Source organism: Homo sapiens, chromosome 3, assembly GCF_000001405.40.
Source record: "Homo sapiens chromosome 3, GRCh38.p14 Primary Assembly".
Classification (NCBI taxonomy): Eukaryota; Metazoa; Chordata; class Mammalia; order Primates; family Hominidae; genus Homo; species Homo sapiens.
Window position 1 is genome coordinate 27,392,128 of NC_000003.12, and position 18,492 is coordinate 27,410,619.

General features: G+C 35.7%; 1 protein-coding gene across 27 annotated transcripts in view; it reads right to left on the reverse strand.

Moving 5' to 3' along the window:
* The window catches only part of SLC4A7 (solute carrier family 4 member 7), a 111,662-nt gene that overhangs the window by 19,405 nt on the left and 73,765 nt on the right, over positions 1–18,492 (reverse strand). For 22 of the 27 annotated variants that reach the window (XM_017007527.3, NM_001321106.2, XM_047449246.1 and 19 more), the window contains 8 exons: positions 17,229–17,403; positions 12,703–12,836; positions 11,012–11,257; positions 8,637–8,742; positions 6,065–6,226; positions 5,557–5,670; positions 2,827–2,988; positions 2,391–2,642 (listed from right to left, as the gene is read on the reverse strand). In XM_017007527.3, the coding sequence (XP_016863016.1) occupies positions 2,391–2,642; positions 2,827–2,988; positions 5,557–5,670; positions 6,065–6,226; positions 8,637–8,742; positions 11,012–11,257; positions 12,703–12,836; positions 17,229–17,403 (1,351 nt within the window). Of the gene's footprint in view, positions 1–2,390; positions 2,643–2,826; positions 2,989–5,556; positions 5,671–6,064; positions 6,227–8,636; positions 8,743–11,011; positions 11,258–12,702; positions 12,837–17,228; positions 17,404–18,492 lie in introns of those variants that run through there. The other 5 variants (NR_135541.2, NR_135544.2, NR_135543.2 and 2 more) reach the window with 2 other exon arrangements.

Consider the following 18,492-nt stretch of genomic DNA (forward strand, 5'->3'; position numbering starts at 1 on the left):
ATACATAAAACACTCAGAAAAGCTCTGATACATATTAAGCACACAAAAAGTGACAACCATTGTCATTGCTATCACTACCTGCTGCACTGAATATTAAGCAGTAGCCTTTACTGAATATAGTAAGTAAAATCCACCTCCAAAATAAAATCCTTACTACTTTGGCAGTTATGATGATCCCAAACTGTCTACACAGTTCACACCTATTCATCCTGCAAGAAAGTCTGGCTATTAACAGAGCCCATCCATTTACTCAAAACCACAAAAAGCACTCTGACCTAAGGGAGAAGTGTACTATAAGGAACAACAAATTAAAAAACTACAGAGGAAAACCACATCTACTACATCTCTTCTAAACAACCTAGCGTGTCTTTCTAAGGACACTGGAAAAAAAGAAAACAGTTTACGAAGCAGACGTATTTTAAAAAATCTAAGCAATGCCTGTAATCTCAGCATTTCGGGAGGCTGAGGCGGGCAGATCACTTGCGGCCATAAGTTCGAGACCAACCTGGCTAACATAGCGAAACCATCATCTCTACCAAAAACACAAAAATTAGCTGGGCATGGTGGCACGTGCCTGTAGTCCCAGCTACTCGGGAGGCTGAGGCCAAGAATCATTTGAACCCAGGAGGCAGAGGTTGCAGTGAGCCAAGATCATGTCACTGCACTCCAGCCTGGGTGATGGAGTGAGACTCTGTCTCAAAAGAAAAAAGAAAAAAAAATGCTAGGAAAAAGAAATAAGAATGGGAAAAGCTCATGAAAATTAAATCTATAAATATCAAAATAACTAAAATTTTGTAGTAATAATTTTCATAAGACTGAAGACCAATATAATGATATGAAAAAAGGAGAAAATTTTCTTTAATAGCAAGGGGGAGGAGGGATAAGAATATTAGAACAAATCCAAAAGGTCTGAGATCTGTTTAGCTGGAGTTGAAGAAATTTGTAACAGAGACAATAGACGAAAAGGGAAGTAAACAGGGGAAGAAAATTCTCACAGCAGAAGGCACAGGTTTCTCGAGAAAACCAACAGAGACTAAGCAGGGTAAATGAAAAGCCCCTAACTGCCTCCCTAAGTATCTGAATGAGTTTTCACAAAAACAAAAGTTAAAAAAAATTTTTTTGGTTTATCTTAAAGAGGGAAAAGGTCTCCATAAAAGTACAAAAACCAAATAGATTTCAGATTTCTCATTAGAAAATTGGTCTCCAGAAAACAATGACTTTAAGATCCAAAAGAAAACTATTTTGAATATCTAACTATGGATCAAATGTTGAGGTAAATAGAGACATTTTGAAATATGCAAGAACTCTCAATAAGTTCACCGCTAATGGTACCATGTGTAAAAAGAATTTATCAATACAAAAAATGAATACAAGAAAAAGGGGAACCTGCATATACAATTTTTTTACAGTAAGGGAAGGTAGCAGATATTAGAAAGACTTATTTGGTCTTCAGGCTTGGGCTGGAGTAAAATAGAGTATATTTCTGCCTCCCTGCAGGCAACTCACACTGCTTAGTCCTCACAATCACACTGCTTAGTCCCCAGCAAATACCATCGTAATATCATTTATGTGTTCCCAGAGGGTTTAAATTTCTATAATCTAACTTACAGGAGATGCAAGGAAGCCTTAATTATCATCATAGCACAAAATGTAAATGTTAATAACGACTTTTACAATAATAAAAAAATTAAAAATAAAAGCCAACAAGAGGGATGTGATGGAAGACAGAATGAGGATGGAGTCATAGGTGAAAGACACAACTTTAGGTCAGCAGCTCTCAAACTCTGTGGTCTCAAGACTCCTTTATACTCTTAAAAATTACTGAGGTCATTTCCCCTCCCCCACAAATACTTTTATTTATGAGCGTTTTATACATATATTTGCCATATTATAATTTTTTTTGTTTTTTGAGACAGGATCTCACTTTGTCACCCAGGTTGGAGTGCAGTGGCCCAATCACGGCTCACTGCAGCCTTGACCTCCCAGGTTCAAGCGATCCTCCCACCTCAGCCTCCTGAGCAGCTGGCACCACGGGAGCATGCCACCATACCTGGCTAATTATTTTTATTTTTATAGAGACAGGGTCTCATTATGTTGCCCAGGCTGGTCTTGAACACCTGGCCTCAAGCAATCCTCCTTCCTTGGCCTCCCAAATTGCTGGGATTACAGGCGTAAGCCACTACACCTGGTATACATTATTTTAAAAATATATACAGCTTACCACTGAAATGCTTGCTATACTAAAAACCTAATGAAATTATTTCCCAAGTAAACTGTGGAAAACAAACCTAATTTTAGGTATTTTAAGTATATTTTAATGTTTCATGTTCACATAACTAAGTATAAATGTTATAATAAGATTGTAAAACACGGCAATAAAGAAATTTTACCTTTAGGACTGAAGTCATGAACACAGAGAGGCCCATTAGAATAAAAATCATTAGCCCTGTAACCCGCTGTTCACGAATTCCCAAAAACTTGGGTTGTTCCCCTGGAGCAGAACATTCAGATTCAACTTTTAAGCTGTTGACATGACTTATTGACAACACTGTTGCAGCCACAAACCATGGAAGTCCCATGACAGAGCAAACTCCCAACATAACGCCAACCATGAGCAAATCAAGGTGATAGCCAGCTCCTTTCTGAAAAGTGAAATGAACATAAATATCTGTAAGTCTAAATGGTTCCCTCAATTTAAAATTCTACACGAATTATAAAGAGGGAAGAAGCTAATTTTCATCTTACATCTTTTAATGTTCTAATCATTACAAAAACAGCTCAAACCCTTGAAGAATCACAATGCTTAAGGCAAAATTCTAAAATTACCTTCAATTTGTGTTCCTTTCTGTTTATAATTACAGCTGTGATTTGTTGATCCATAAAGATGAGAATGGTACAAAGCAAAGCAGGAATAGCAGCTATTAATAAGGTCCACCAAGGATTATCTCCCAGTGGGCTTATGATCCACCCTCTCTCTGGATGAGTAGGCTGTTAAAAAATTAAATATAATTTTCAAAAAGTCTCCTTGCTGTATTGCACTAAATTTCCATAACATAGACTTGATCTGTTCCAAGAAATACCCAACGAATGGGAAATAACTTAAATCTTGAACTACATGGTGAATTATTTTCAAAGATGGCCACAGTAATTCTTCCTATCCCTATAACTATACCTCCTGTCATTTGACTCAGTCAATCTTTCCACCTAGAGGTGGAGTCTGCCTCCTTCCCCCCTGAAACCAGGATGACCCTGTGACTTACTTTAACCCACAGAATAAGGCCAAAGTGACACTATGTGATTTCTAAGTCTTAACCTTAAAGAACCTTGCAGCTTCTTCTCTAACCTGCTTTGAACCCTGAGATTATTACGCTGTCGAGTAAGCCTAGATAAGCTTTCTTGAGGATAAGACTATCCTCAATATAGTCTATATGGTAGTGGGTGTCGGGGGCGGTTCCCCAGGCAACTATTCCAGCTGTTTCATCCATCTGAGCTGAGGCCTCAGACATATGAATGAAGGCATATTGCCCCCATTGATGACTGCACCCCACAGAGCAGACCACAAACCAGCTAAGCCTAGTCTCAACTGCCACAGAATTATAAACAAATAAAGGGCTGTTATTCAAAAGTTTGTTATGTAGAAATTGATAAGCAAACTGGAATGTCATTTCCACATGTTCCTGCATAATTCATATAAGGTGAAATCAATCTATCCACTAAACTCCTAAACTAAACTGCTTTAGTCTAGTCCTGCAGACTTAGTGATTTTGACAGGGTCAGTACTAAATCAGAACTGGTCCACAATACATGGTATTTCCAAAGGAACTACTAACAAAAATCTGGCACTTTATGAGATACTAATACATTTTGACAGTACAATGTAAGATTTTATAGCAATTTTTTTTTAAAGATCAAGAGAGTTTAGTATGTTTGGGAGAATACTGCATATATAGAAACCTAAACATATGTTTTTATTACCTCAACTTGGTATTAAGCTTGTTTCTTCTTCATGAAAACATTTGTCAATATAAAAGGGAAATTTAATACTTTCAAAGTTCAGGTAATTCAATCTTTCCACACTAATATATATTAAACTACCTCACACTCAATGTTGTGTATGAACAAAAATATTTTATTCTACTTATACAATGCCATTTACTCTTAAGAGTTCCTTGATTTGCTTCCTCAAGTATATTTTATGCCCCTTGAAATCAGCCTATTACCTGAAAGCCATATCAGTAAATAAATAACAAGGACATATTTAAGAATCAGAATAAGGAACTTAGGCCAGGATTACAGGAAATTACATCACGTTTTGAACCAATATTAATTCATAGTTTCATTTATTTATATATTCTCATAAAATAAACCTAAAGTTTAATATTTTCATATTTTTACATTAAAAACATAAGACTTTCTAAAAATTGTTGGCAGATCATTTTCCACCTGTGTACCCTACTTTAAAGACCACTGATTTTAAAAATAACATTTTGGTCTCAGTGCAATATTATAAAATTAGATTTTATAATATAAAATAAAATGATCTTCATTATATTCCTTATTTCGGATCCCCTTTAAACCAGCTGCTTCTGAAAGAAGTCATATAACTTGTTAAATTAAATATAACCAGTGACACTATTCACAATGTCTTTCCTTTTAGCATAAGCAAAGGAGGATGGAAGAAAACAAAAACAGAGCAGAAGGAAAATGAATATATTCAAATCTGCTAATGAAAGCAGAAAATTCAAATGGATGCTCAGATCATTTTTCTTATAGAACACACTTCGTTTTCTCCTTATGCTACTGGAAATTGTTACATGGAATTTTCCAACTACTGTCAGATATACTACCCTTCTAGAAATTTAACTAGACCCTCTCTGCCACTCCTAGAAAATTGAATTTTAGGTTACTTTTTTTTTTTGAGATGGAGTTCCCCTCTTATTGCCCAGTCTGGAGTGCAATGGCATGGTCGCAGCTCACTGCAACCTCCGCCTCCTGGGTTCAAGCGATTCTCCTGCCTCAGCCTCCCGAGTAGCGGGATTACAGGCGCCCGCCACCACGCCTGGCTAATTTTTGTATTTTTAGTACACCATGTTGGCCAGGCTGGTCTTGAACTCCTGACCTCAAGTGATCCACCTGCCTCGGCCTCCCAAAGTGCTGGGATTACAGGCACAAGCCACTGCACCTGGCCTGGGTTACTTCTTTATAAAAAAATAAAGGCTGTTTCCTTCTCCCTGGAAGGTACAGCAAGAACTCCAGGTAGGAGAGCAAAGACTTTTTTTTTTTTTTAATGGCTCCCTACATCTTACCACAAATATTTTCATTCACTCTCTCTAATGGACCAGCGGTGATACTTTTAAGTTCACATGTCTCTTTTCTGTCCATATTGTCATTGTTTATATACATATGAAAAACACATATAAATTATTTCCTTTCAAAGCATCAGCCCTTCAAAGAGACTACATACTTTTAAAACAATAACTACTGAGAAAATAGTATCTTGCTTTAAAGTAGTGTGGTATTCCCAAGTAACAAATAGCCACTTGTTTTAATCCTTACCTCAAATTTTTCAGGAACATGAAGTTTAGGAGATGGAACTCCTACAAGGTAGTCAATTGTAACCATTATTACTATTGTGAGAAATACAGCAAAATCACTGATTGTCGATCGCACCTATGTTAAAGGGATTATGTTAATATAAACACAGAAATACTATGTGTTCTTTCTAAATAATTCACATCTTTTATTGATAAAATTGTCACTACAACGTACAAATGGAGCTTTTAACTAGTGACAATGTTAACAGTGAAACACATTTATATTTAATTCTTTCCAAAAATATAAGAAACACATTTCGCAACTAACCTAGCAACTCTTATGGTACCATCATCTTCCTACTGTGAGCTCAGGCACGTAATATACATTTTTCACTACGAATAATTTCTTTATTAACCAGTTGGCATGGAGTATTAACCTCAAAAAATATATTACTGTTTTGAAATAAACCAAGGAAATAAAAACCAAAAATATGAATATTACCAGAATTCCAAAATTATATCACAGTTACCTTGGTAGGAAAGTAACGCTTGGTCTTAAATTGCTTGAGGAATGAAGACAGAAAAAATGTTGTGAAAAACAAGATGACACACCAAAAGAGCACATCTGGAATATAAGGTCCATGATGACCACAAGCTGACCCCAAGAATACACCACGAAGTTTTTTACATTCCTGGAAAAAAGGAGAAAGAAAAAGCAGAATGGGGGATTCTTACGTATTCAATAAATTATTATGAGCTTCATTGACTCGTAAGATGCAACTGATTGTAAGAGGCACCATTACTTTGTATTCCTTATAAAGAAAAAACATTGTCCAGCCAACTATAACACACTAACAACTAATTGTAATACATATCCTGAGTTCAAGATATTATAATTTGAAAAATACGTGCATCTCAAATCACTAAAATACAGTATTTTGCCAAGTCACTTCAAATACTCCTTTCTTTCAATTCCATATTCCCTATACTGAAAGCCTTGTAGTGAGTATTATTTGTGAAATGTTTCTTCTGCATTCTTGCTTGTCCACAATTTTACCGCTTTTCGTTTCTGAACAAGTGGTTTAAAACAAAAGCAGCAGATAGAAAATTAATACTATGCTCTTTTATGATGCTGGATAAGAGATGGCTACAGTACCTAAATTAAAATCAGTAATAAAAATTGTCTTTAGCTTTTCTGACTTGATTCAGTACCTTCAGACTAAAAGCACAGGGACCATAAGCAGTAAAATGACCGTTAAAATATTTCCATTAATAAAATCAGTAACGTAATAATATAGCATAATAAAATGCAATTATAGAAACTACTGACTTCATTTTCCTTTAGGGAAAAAAAAAAAAAACTGAAAGGCAATCAGAGATTAATAGAAGCACATGCCACTAAAGTTCTCCTTTTTCTTACTTATAATCTAATGAAGCTCATTTTAACAAAACAAGTCAGTTGTACCCAAAGAAAAATAGTTAAATGTTCCATTATTTTCACATGCCATGTGCTGAGATTAGTAAACCTAATCCATTCCATGGATCATGAAAATAAAAGCTATACCATTACCAGAAAAACAAAAAAACCCACCCTGCATGGCCCTTTGGGATAACATGAAAACACTTATATCTATATATCAAGACATCTGACCCATCATGAAATGAATTATTTGTAACAAATCACTTTCATTTGAACACCTCTATTAACTACACCTCTTCCTTAACAAAAATGACTTTTTAAATATAAAATAGTAAAGCATGAATCTATGTTTTTTCTTTTATTTGTTTTTAGAGACAGGGTCTCATTCTGTCGCCCAGGCTGGTGAGCAGTGATGCTATCACAGCTCACTGTAATCTCCAACTCCTGGGCTCAAGTGATTCTCCCTCCTTAGCCTCCCAGTAAGTTAGCTACAGGCGCGAGTCACCATACCAGGGTAATTTTTTAATTTTTGTAGAGATGGTGCCTTGCTATGTTGCCCAGGCTGGTCTCTAACTCCTGGCCTCTAGCAATACTCCTGCCTTGTCCTCCCAGAGTGCTATGGTGTGAACCACCATGCTTGGCAATTTTTACTGCTTTAAATCAGCACTGCCCAATAGATATATTAGATGATGCAGATAATGTAACATTTCCATCACAGAAATAATGGAAATACAGGAGCCAGCAGTCACATGAATTGACTGAACACCTGAAATGTGGCTAGTTAACTGAAAAACTAAACTTTTAATTAATCTTAAGTTTAAATAGACACACGTGGCTAATGGCTACTGTATTGGACAATACAGTCTTAAATTATCAGTGGGATAAAATTTCAGATAATATCCTTCAAATTATATAGTTAGGAACTATCACCTTTAGTGAGAAAGGAATGACCTACAGTTACTTATATGATATAAAAAGCACAACGGTAGCTCAAGGGATCTTAGTCTTAATTCTAACTACTGGCAAACTTTACATATTTATTTCTAACTCCCAGGCTTGGAAATGTCAAAAATAAATATTCTAGGATTAGGACAATACTCCCCCAACAGAACACAAACATCTGTAATAGTATTCAGCACACAGTAGGTGTTCATTACATGTTTTTAATTCTTTTTCCTTTCTCTTCCCTTAATGTTCGACCCAGACTAGTCTTGATGAGTTAGACAAGGTTAACTTAGACATTAGGACATTAACACAGCACTTCATGATCTAAATTAGCTGTCGATGGAGCAGATGAACAGATAAAAAGGCAGGACAAGTGGATATAAAATATTGTAAAGGACAGTATATGTAGCCACAGTCCCAGTAAACACTTCCTTTGAACGTATCAATCTAAGTAGAATTAGAAAACAGAAGTATATTCACATCTTTATACTGTTCATATCTTGGAAGTCAAATATAATCCACCTTTATCTCTCGTGCCAGTTTCATTCTTTTCAGCCTACACTTTCGAGCGCATGATACATAAAAAAGTAGCAACTGCTATCTGGTCAAAATAACACTACATTCTGAAAACATACTACCGATCCATCAATCAAGAGAAAATGGATGTCTGATTAGAAAAAGCTAAAAGAACCAGATCAATATCTATTACAAAACCCTTTATTTCAAAATATACTCACAGAAACAGTAAGATTTCTCCAGGAAATATTGTGTGCTGTTATATTATCTTTCTTCCATTGTGCTAGAGTTTCATTGCTGGGGTTTGGAGGTTCAGTACATACACATCTGAGAAATTAGAGTAGGATACATTTTTAAGGATCCTGAATTTCATGCTTACATTTTACTAAATCAATTATACAATGTGGTAGATTTTAACTTCTTTTTTTCCCACATTGAGAAGCATGGAGACTAGAAAGTGGAAAATACATCAGAAACAACAGAATGGAATAAAGTTTGGGTTATAGAAATAAAATAAAACCAATACAAATATCAAAACGTTTAGTTAATGAAGCTAGTTATGTCCTTGGTGAGGGCACTATTTTACTTAAAAATCTAAGATGATTCCACCATGTTTAGCAAGATTAGTCTCCACTAAAGCTTATCTACTCAACCTCCATAGCAGTTACTGCTGTCTCCCTCCACTCCCCCATAGCACATATAGATTCCCAATAAGTTATACTACCATTAATTCTTTATAACTGACAAGCCCTACCTACTCACAGTCACCCTTTGTTGATCTTAAGGCTCATTCTTAAAGAAATAAATAAAAAATAGTTTCTCATCAGGACAGGACTAGGAGAGTCATAAGGAAATCAGAGTTCAGTTCATATCCAGAACTATTTCAACTACCTAAAGCTAGAACACACGTAAGCAAAGAAACTTTTAAATACGGACTTAAAAGATGAAAAGTAATAATCATGAATGTTCCAAACTAGGTTATGAACTGTTTGAGGAAAGGCAAGAAGACAGACTTTGGAGTCCATCCAGGCGCTTTTAGTAGATGACTGACCTCCAAGTTTTAACCTCCAAGGCCATCAGCTTCTTCATACACAAAAGGGGCTATGATGTGAATAAGTAACACTACAAATATAAATTTATAATATAAATTAGGCAACACTCCTAACACAGTGCCTGCAGACGCTCATAGAATGTTGGCCAAATAAATGTAATTCACATGTTAATTACCCAGTTAACCAGAAGGAAACACTGCTCTAACTGGCTGACACTAACTATAAAAGTCATGCTTTATAAAGGTCAAAGAAGCAAAAGGCAAGGAAAGAAAGATTTAAAAAATGTGTTTAAATTAAAGCTTCTAAGAGGAATGAAGATAGTATATAACAGATTCGGCATCATAGTGTCACTAGTATATTCAAATAGGTCAATGTCTTCCAGGAATTTTCATACCCTCTTTATTCTGTCCGTCAAAGTTGAGAGTGTGCAAGGAAAGGCAGCGGGGGAAGAACGAATGAACAAAAGAGGGAAGTACATGTATCTGGGGCTTAGGTGGGTAGAAAAAGAAAAACTGTATCCTTTTGTGTCTTTTGGTAACCATATTTTTCCCTGTAAATCAATCAAATGCAGTTCCATATTTACGCCAAGCGTGACTGCTAAAGACAGCAAATAAAGGCATCTACTTAAATATGTCTACTTTTAAAAGCCTATTTTACACTTATTGAATATACTTGCCAAACTTTTGTAACCACTACACATTCCTTTTCAAATCCTACTTTATTCTAGAATTTAAAAAGATTTTCATTGCACTTTTTTTTTTATCAAAACGAAAACACATATTGAATGTACTGAAATAACTTTCAGTAAAAATTATCAAGCTTCAGCCGGGCACAGTGGCTCACGCCTGTAATCCCAGCACTTTGGGAGGCCGAGGCAGGTGGATCACCTGAGGTCAGGAGTTTGAGACCAGCCTGGCCAACATGGCGAAACTCTGTCTCCACTAAAAATACAAAAATTAGCTAGGCACGGTGATACGTGCCTGTAATCCCTGCTACTGGTGGGCTGAGGCAGGAAGATCACTTGAACCTGGGAGGCAGAGGCTGCAGTTAGCTGAGATTGTGGCACTGCACTCCAGCCTGGGCAACAGAGAGAGACTCCGTCTCCAAAAAAAAAAAATCAAGCTTCAACAATATTAATGAAGATGCAAAATTTGAAAAATATATAAAAAAAAGTCTACATTCTATTATACATCTAGGATTTAAAGAATATAAGATCCAATGTAATAATTGCCTGATTCAAATATATAGTGGATCAGTTGCCAATCAAATTTAAACTGGCCAATCCAATTCAAACAGAAGACCAAAACATACACATGTGAATAAGCTATCTCAGTGAACAAAAAATACTGAATTTGATCAACTATATTTTTGTTCATTGAATGCTGTGACAAAATCTCATCTGAAACAACCATGTCACTATCACATGGCTAGTTAAGTAGTTATAGCTAGTTACACTATCACACTGCAAAAAAAATTCATTTTCTGAGGCTCTGACATCTCTGTAAAAACACATTTTAATATTAGGAGAAAAGAGAAATACTTACGAGTAGCTGGTCAGTTTATCTAAGTTGTTGTGCATATTAAATGCATATGTTTCTCCTAAATCAAAGAGCTTCTCCAAAGCCTCGTAGATGAATATGATGCAAATAAGGGCTGCAAAAGCCTCTTCTGTAAATCGAGTAATATAACACACAAGGCTGCTTGCATCTGTTGCAACCAAAACAATGCACAAAAAAGAAGTCCACAGACCAATACTGGTTCTTAAAGACAGATAAGAAAGTTGATAATCTCTGTTTAGAAAGAAAAATATGAATATGATAAACATATGTGGAATAGTATTTGTACCTAAAATTTTTCATTGCAAGCAATGGGAACAGCAAGAAAACACGATTCCTAAAAGAGAATGAATTACAGAATGACAAAATAACATCTAGAAATAACTCTATATCTTTTTCTGCTTCGGCTGAAGACTAGCTTATTAGTAGATTTATTATTAATAAATTAATTAGTATTAATTATTAATAGTTTATTACACTTATATAAAAGATTTACAGTGAAAATCTACCAGGCGATAAATATTTCAAAATCATTACAGCTCACTTTATAAATCAGTTATGAGTAAATGACAGGTATGGTGTCTATATGAAAAAACAATTGCATCTTACTCCCTCTAAAGATCCAGACATCATATGTATCAATACAGTAACCAGCTCCAACATCATTACCATCACTACCACTACCCTCCTCTCCCACCATTATCACCACAGAAAGTGATTTCTTATTTTAAACTTCAAGAAATTACCAGAATCTATACTTCGGGTCACTGCATTCTCTATTAGTCTATGTGGCATGCCAGATTGGAATCAGATTAAGCTTGTTTAGTGAGTACAGAATCAGAAAAAGAGAGCTGGATCCATCAAATATGTAATAGCATCAAGTTGTTTCAAACTAAAATATACAAACTTCATTTATGTCACAAAAGGAAGAGTACTAGAGGCTGGGAGCAGTGGCTCACGCCTGTAATCCCAAACTTGGGGAGGCCGAGGCAGGTGGAACACTTGAGGTCAGTTCGAGACCAGCCTGGCCAGCATGGTTAAACTCCATCTCTACTGAAAATAAAACAATTAGCCAGGTGTGGTTGCGGCGCCAGTAATCCCAGCCACTTGGGAGGCTGAGGCAGGAGAATCACTTGAACCTGGGAGGCAGAGGTTGCAGTGAGCCAAGATCGCACCACTGCACTCCAGCCTGGGCAACAGAGTGAGATTCAGTCTCAAATAAATGAATACATAAATAAATAAAATAAGGAACAGTATTAGCCATGCTGAATTCAAAGTCTAACAGCTACAGTACCCTATATTCATTTCTACAGTGTGAACAACCTCACCGATGGAAACTGACACTTCACTCTGATTGCTTCAACCCAATTCAGATTAACACCTTCTTACTGGTTTAAATTTGTTAGCACAAAGGATTTGTATTTAGCCCTCAAGTGATCTGCTTATCAGCATTCAAATCCACTGATTTTATACTCAAGGACAATCTTACTTTCTTCATCTCCAAGTTACTGGATTAAGAATGGAAGGGGCCAGAGGATGGTCAATCATACAGTAGCTCAAAAATAATGAGAATGCATATATTGACCAAATTACTTTTAAGCAATTAAATAATTCCCTTCTAAGTTAATAAACAATTTCATATATAACACATGTGATAAGTAGAGAGGGCTATTACTTACCTGCAGAATTTATATAAAATTTTTTCAAACACTAGAACTGGACCTGTGCTCCCCAATATTGTTAGAGGTTGCCCAGCAAACAATGAATAGGCAATCCCAGTTAATGATGCTCCAAAAAGAGACTCTATTGCACTCTGTTTAAGGAAAAAAGAAATGAATAAAAGCAATACATCATAAACATTTCTCTAACGTACTATAATACATGTAAGACATCTGGAAAATAAAAATACCCATCAAGCAGTTATAAAACCAACACCACTTTGAGTTTTTAATTTAAAATATAAAAAATTACAAATACATTTTAAATACACAAGAAAAAATGCTTTCTTTTTGCATATTAAAAAGAAACTTTTGTGATCATCCTTAATTCAAAACTCAATACAGGCTGAGTATCCCTAATCCAAAACTCCACACTCCAAACTTTTTGAGTGCCAATACGACACTCAAAAGGAAATGCTCATTAGAGCACTTCAGATTTCAGATTAAGGATGTTCAACCAGAAGTATAATCCTAAAAAAAATCCAAAATCTGAACTACTCCTGGTTCGAAGCATTTCAGATAAGGGATACTCAACCTGTGCTGTGGGATGAAAGGAGCAAAGAGTAAATGGGAGAGACACATACTAGGGCTTCAACTTTATCTATATATGTTTTATTTCTTAAGTCTGTGAGTACAGAAGGATATGTATTATTTTGAATACTTTTATATGGCTGAAATAGTTCATTTTAAAAATAAAAAATAGTAAATAATATGGTGCTACAAAAAAGAACTGCTATAAAAAGATCTTTCGAATAGGTGATAAATCAACATGTGACTATCTTTCTCAAACTGATTTCTAAAGAGCAAAACTTTCCACATATTTTAAAGAAATTAATCTAATATGATAGGCTTAATCAATTATCAAAACTGAAATATTTAACAAAATAAATGAGAAAAATCTCCTCAAAAAAATTTATAGCAACCATAAATGACAAAGTATCACTAAAGTTTGGCAAGAAAAGATAGAGAAAATGAAAGACTAAGAGAATTTAAATCAACGTTAGTATACTAATTTTGTACAACCACCACCATTACATTCTAACTAATTAGGCTATCAGATGATTAGCTATGCCACTAGAAAAAGGGGGAAAGAATCAGAAAGTAAGGAAAGAATAGTTTACCATATACAAACATCAAGGTCAACTGGAACGTACTATCCAGAAAAGCCAGCCCATTAATTGGTAAAGGGAAGGAGAAAAGAAGCTCGTAAGAAACAATCCTGCTGAAATGAGAGGCAGCGCAGCAACAGGCAAAGAGGAGGGCTTCCGAAACTAGATTTCCAGTGGGAAGACTGACTGCTACTAGGTGTTCAGCCATGGCCATATCTTAACCTTTCTAAGCCTAAGCTTTCTCACTTTGAAATGGCGGTGATGATAACTAGAACATAAATATTATTTGCAAAAACACCTAGCAAGCATGGTGTCTGGCACACAGAATATAGTCAATGAATAGGTAGCAATTCTCATCATCAGCTAGAACAGCATCTTCCAAAATCAAAAATCACAAAATGACAGTATGCAATGAAAGTATAATTCAACTATTAGAATAAAAACAGGATCAAACTCAAAGATAAACAAATTTATCTTTTGGCAGCATAAAGGAGAAGTGTCCGTGTTAATGACACATTTGTTAATTATATGGGCTAAATTTGTTTTCTTGTCTGTGGAGAAAAATGTTCTTAAAAGACACTGCTAAGCCATCATAAAATCCTTAGTTCAATTACAATAAGCATATTTAGGAATGAATTTATGCAGAGCTTAAGTCAAAGGAAAAAAATGGGCCGGGCACCATGGCTCACGCCTATAACACAAGCACTTTGGGAAGCCGAGGTGGGTGGATTGTTTTGAGCCCAGGAGTTCAAGAACAACCTGGGCAACATGGCAAAAGCTGGTCTCTACAAAAAAATACAAAAAATTAGCTAGGCGTGGTGGTACACACCTATAGTCCCAGCTACTCCGGAGGTTATGAGGGAAGTCCAGTGAGGTCAAAACTACAGAGAGCTGAGATCATGCCACTGCACTCTAGCCTGAGTGACACAGTGAGACCCTGTCTCAAAAAAACAAAAAGCAGAAACAAAGGAAAAAAATGTCTAAATGGTATACATACAGAGAAAAAAAGCAAAACATTGAGACATGAAGCAAGGAGATGTCAAAAAAGACATTAACACAGGCAAATCGGTATAAAATTAAGGTTCCCCTCTCCTAATCTTGGGCTGAAAAGCAGATATTGCCATATGAAGACCTTTTTTTTTTTTTTTTTCTAATTTTTGAACTGTTTCTATGTTCACTGCCATACTGTTACCTGTCTTTTCCCCTAAAGAAATCACAGCCTGGCTAGGCACGGTGGCTCACGCCTGTAATCCCAGCACTTTGGGAGGCTGAGGTGGGCAGATCACGAGGTCACATTATCGAGACCAGCCTGACCAACATGATGAAACCCTGTCTCTACTAAAAATACAAAAATGAGCCCGCCGTGGTGGTGGGCCCCTGTAGTCCCAGCTACTCAGGAGACTGAGGCAGGAGAATTGCTTGAACCCGAGAAGCGGAGGTTGCAGTGAGCTGAGATCGCGCCACTGCACTCCAGCCTGGTGACGGAGCGAGACTCCGCCTCAAAAAAAAAAAAAAAAATCAGCCTATTACCCTGCCTGCCTACCTCATTCTCACATTCAGAAGTTTCCATTGTACCCATCAGAAGGCCTACCTACCCTTACCTTCCCCTCACACACCTATAAATACACCTTCTCTACTGTACTACCCTTTCAAATCATCAAATACTCCTGCTAATCTTCCCTCCTCAAAACCTCTAGTTTGGTTTTCACAGAATTTCATCATTCTGATTCCTCTTCTAGGTCTGTGTGTCTAATTTGCTGAAATCATTTTCCTCCTCCATCCCATCCCTCCTTCATTCCATAAATCTGGGTAATTTCACACTTTTCCCCTCTCCTTCTCTCCCTGTAAATTATCTTTCTTGTTAACTTCCTCTATTCTATTTCAACCTTCACTCCTATATAAACGATTCCCAATCTTTACATTTCCTCCTCACCACTCTACACACTCTGGGACCGTATCTCCTAATATCTCCATTTCCACCTGAAGTTCTAATAAAGCACCTGATAACTAATACATATCCTTTTCACTTTCTTCTATAATATTTCTGCTTCCTCTATTTCTATTACTTCAAATCCTACAGCTCTTCCTTTATCTCACTCACGTGTGGCAAAGCACTATGTATATACTATTTTGTCTTTTTCACTTAATCACTTTTGTCTTTTTCACTTTTTTCACTTAGAATCCTTGAGGACAGGAGATACTGGCTCTTCTTACACTTATCTATATTCCTCCAATGCCAAACACATTGTCACATGTACAAGATATCAAATAGCAAGATTAGATGGGCAGGTAATGAATGACAGTCCACGGACAAAGAGGCAGCAATTCCATGATGGTAACAGATAAAACACATTTCCATGGGGACTAGCAGAGTGACATGCACAATTTGTGACAGCACATAAAGCAACTTACTAAAAATATGGACCTTTGATACAATGATTAAAGACTAAGGTAAAAAGATTTTACATAATCCAAAATAAATTCAGAGTTGAAAGAAAATTTCAGTTGTTAGGTTTATTTCATGTTTAGATCATGAAATATTTTAATTCGATAATTATCATGCCTTAGCTTTGGTTATTTTTTAACCTTTGATCTATAAAAAAATGAATGTTCTCCCAAGAATAAATACAATTAAGTAAAATGCACTTAAGAATTACAAATCGTCTCATTTAAATGCCATTAAAATGCATATCAACAACAACAAAGAAATGCCTTTCAAGATTTTACAAAGCACCATAGCTCTGAATACAGTATAACCAGGAACAGGAAAACATAAAAACTTTCATTTTAGTCATATCAAAGAATGGATGAAGCTTTCAATTATATTTTCCAAATAAAAGTTTTAGCTATTTTCACATAGACTTAATAACAGCAAAATTAAATGCCACTTCAAAAAGCCACAGTTTCCATAATTATGTTCTATTCTTCCAGTCGAGTATAGGCTTACCAGCCAGGACTGAGGAGTTAATATTCATCCTGTGGCTCTAACTAATCCTATGATACCTTACAGGATATGAAGTAGCCCCACTGATAAAAACCCCCATGACCCACCCAGAATCAGTTCAACTGTTGTCTTCTCCCAGTCCACCCCACCTCAAAAGACAATCCAAGCCTTTTACTCAATTTATAAAACCATTCATCCAGCAAGCCAAAGTAAACTTTTTTTTAATTTTTTTTTACCTCAACTGTGCATCTTCTGTTCAAATGGCTTCCCCATGTTTTCCACAGCAATTACCTTTGGGGAAAGTCTGCTTTGGGTCACGTTAATCATGCTGTGGGTAGACTCTTCAAATAAAAGTATGAATAGTGAGACAAATGCATACAGACACTTGCCTCTGAAGAGCTAAAAGCCTGGCCACTACCAATCTTTGTACTCACTATTCTGCCTTCTGTAGCTTCTCCAAGCAGCCCTCCAAAAGTGATTACAGGAGACATACAGGCACAGTATAGGAAAAGAATCGAGGCCAGGCACTGCAGGCTTAATGCATCCTTGAAGTCACTCAAGAAAAAAGGTGCTTTCCTTTTGATGTCAAGTATCAAACCACCAAAAAGCCTAAATAGGTGAGATGAAACTCGTCAAACTGTACACTAGAGGATTCTAGCTACTTCAAACTAAAACTATGGGCTACACAAAACTGCTGGTGCCTAGGTGTTTTGTCAACAAAATGTTAAATCCAATTTAACTTATAAATTACAGAAGATACACTCATTTAATCTAATCTAATGATAGAGGAATGTTATATTTCATTAAGAGACAAATATCTGTATTTTACGGACTATATAATGAAAAGACTGCAGGCAAATGATTTTATATGAGTAAATGTAATTTTGGACACAAATGTGCAAGGCAAGGTATAACAAAATAAACAAAACCCAACAACCCATTTATGAAAATGTGCATAAGCAATTCTATTAATTGTCTATATTAAAATCTTAAAGGCAACAATCACAAATACAAGGAAGGCAATTATTATCCAAATACACTTTAATATAAATGTAGTATGTTGTGCTTAGATGCACAAGTGGTATGAATTCAGTAACTTTAAAAACTTTCAAAACTAGTACTTCAATCGTATAAAAGGGGGAAAGAAATCCCTAAAAACTATTTCAGTATATTTAATTTACTGTGTATGTAGACAAACTAATATGTACATTAATAAAACTAACAGGTTTCAATTAGTAGATTAAAAATCTGTTTGTACATCAAAGCTGTACCATTTCAACATTTTTAACAATTAGTCTTTTGGATACATCTAACTTGAAGACATTCCAATAAAATATAAGCTCCATGAGGGGAGACTTTTTCTTGTTCACTGCGTTATCTACAGTGTCTAGAACACTACCTGGGAAATAGTAGGCACTCAACAAACACTGGTGACTAAATCAGTAATTCGTTTTAATACTCAAAAAACAGAAAATCATTCAAATCCCAACTGCAAGAAAATTGACCAAAAAAACTAACATTAAGCTTTCAAATGGATATTTCAAGCTTTACCGTTGTAATTTTTTTAAGTTGATACTGAAATCCTAAACACAAATTGACAAGTAGTACTCTGTTCATAATCTGACAGCAAGGGAAATCAGCTTGCAATAAAAAAGGTGCCATCAATAATCTAAAATATGAATCTACAGTATATCATCA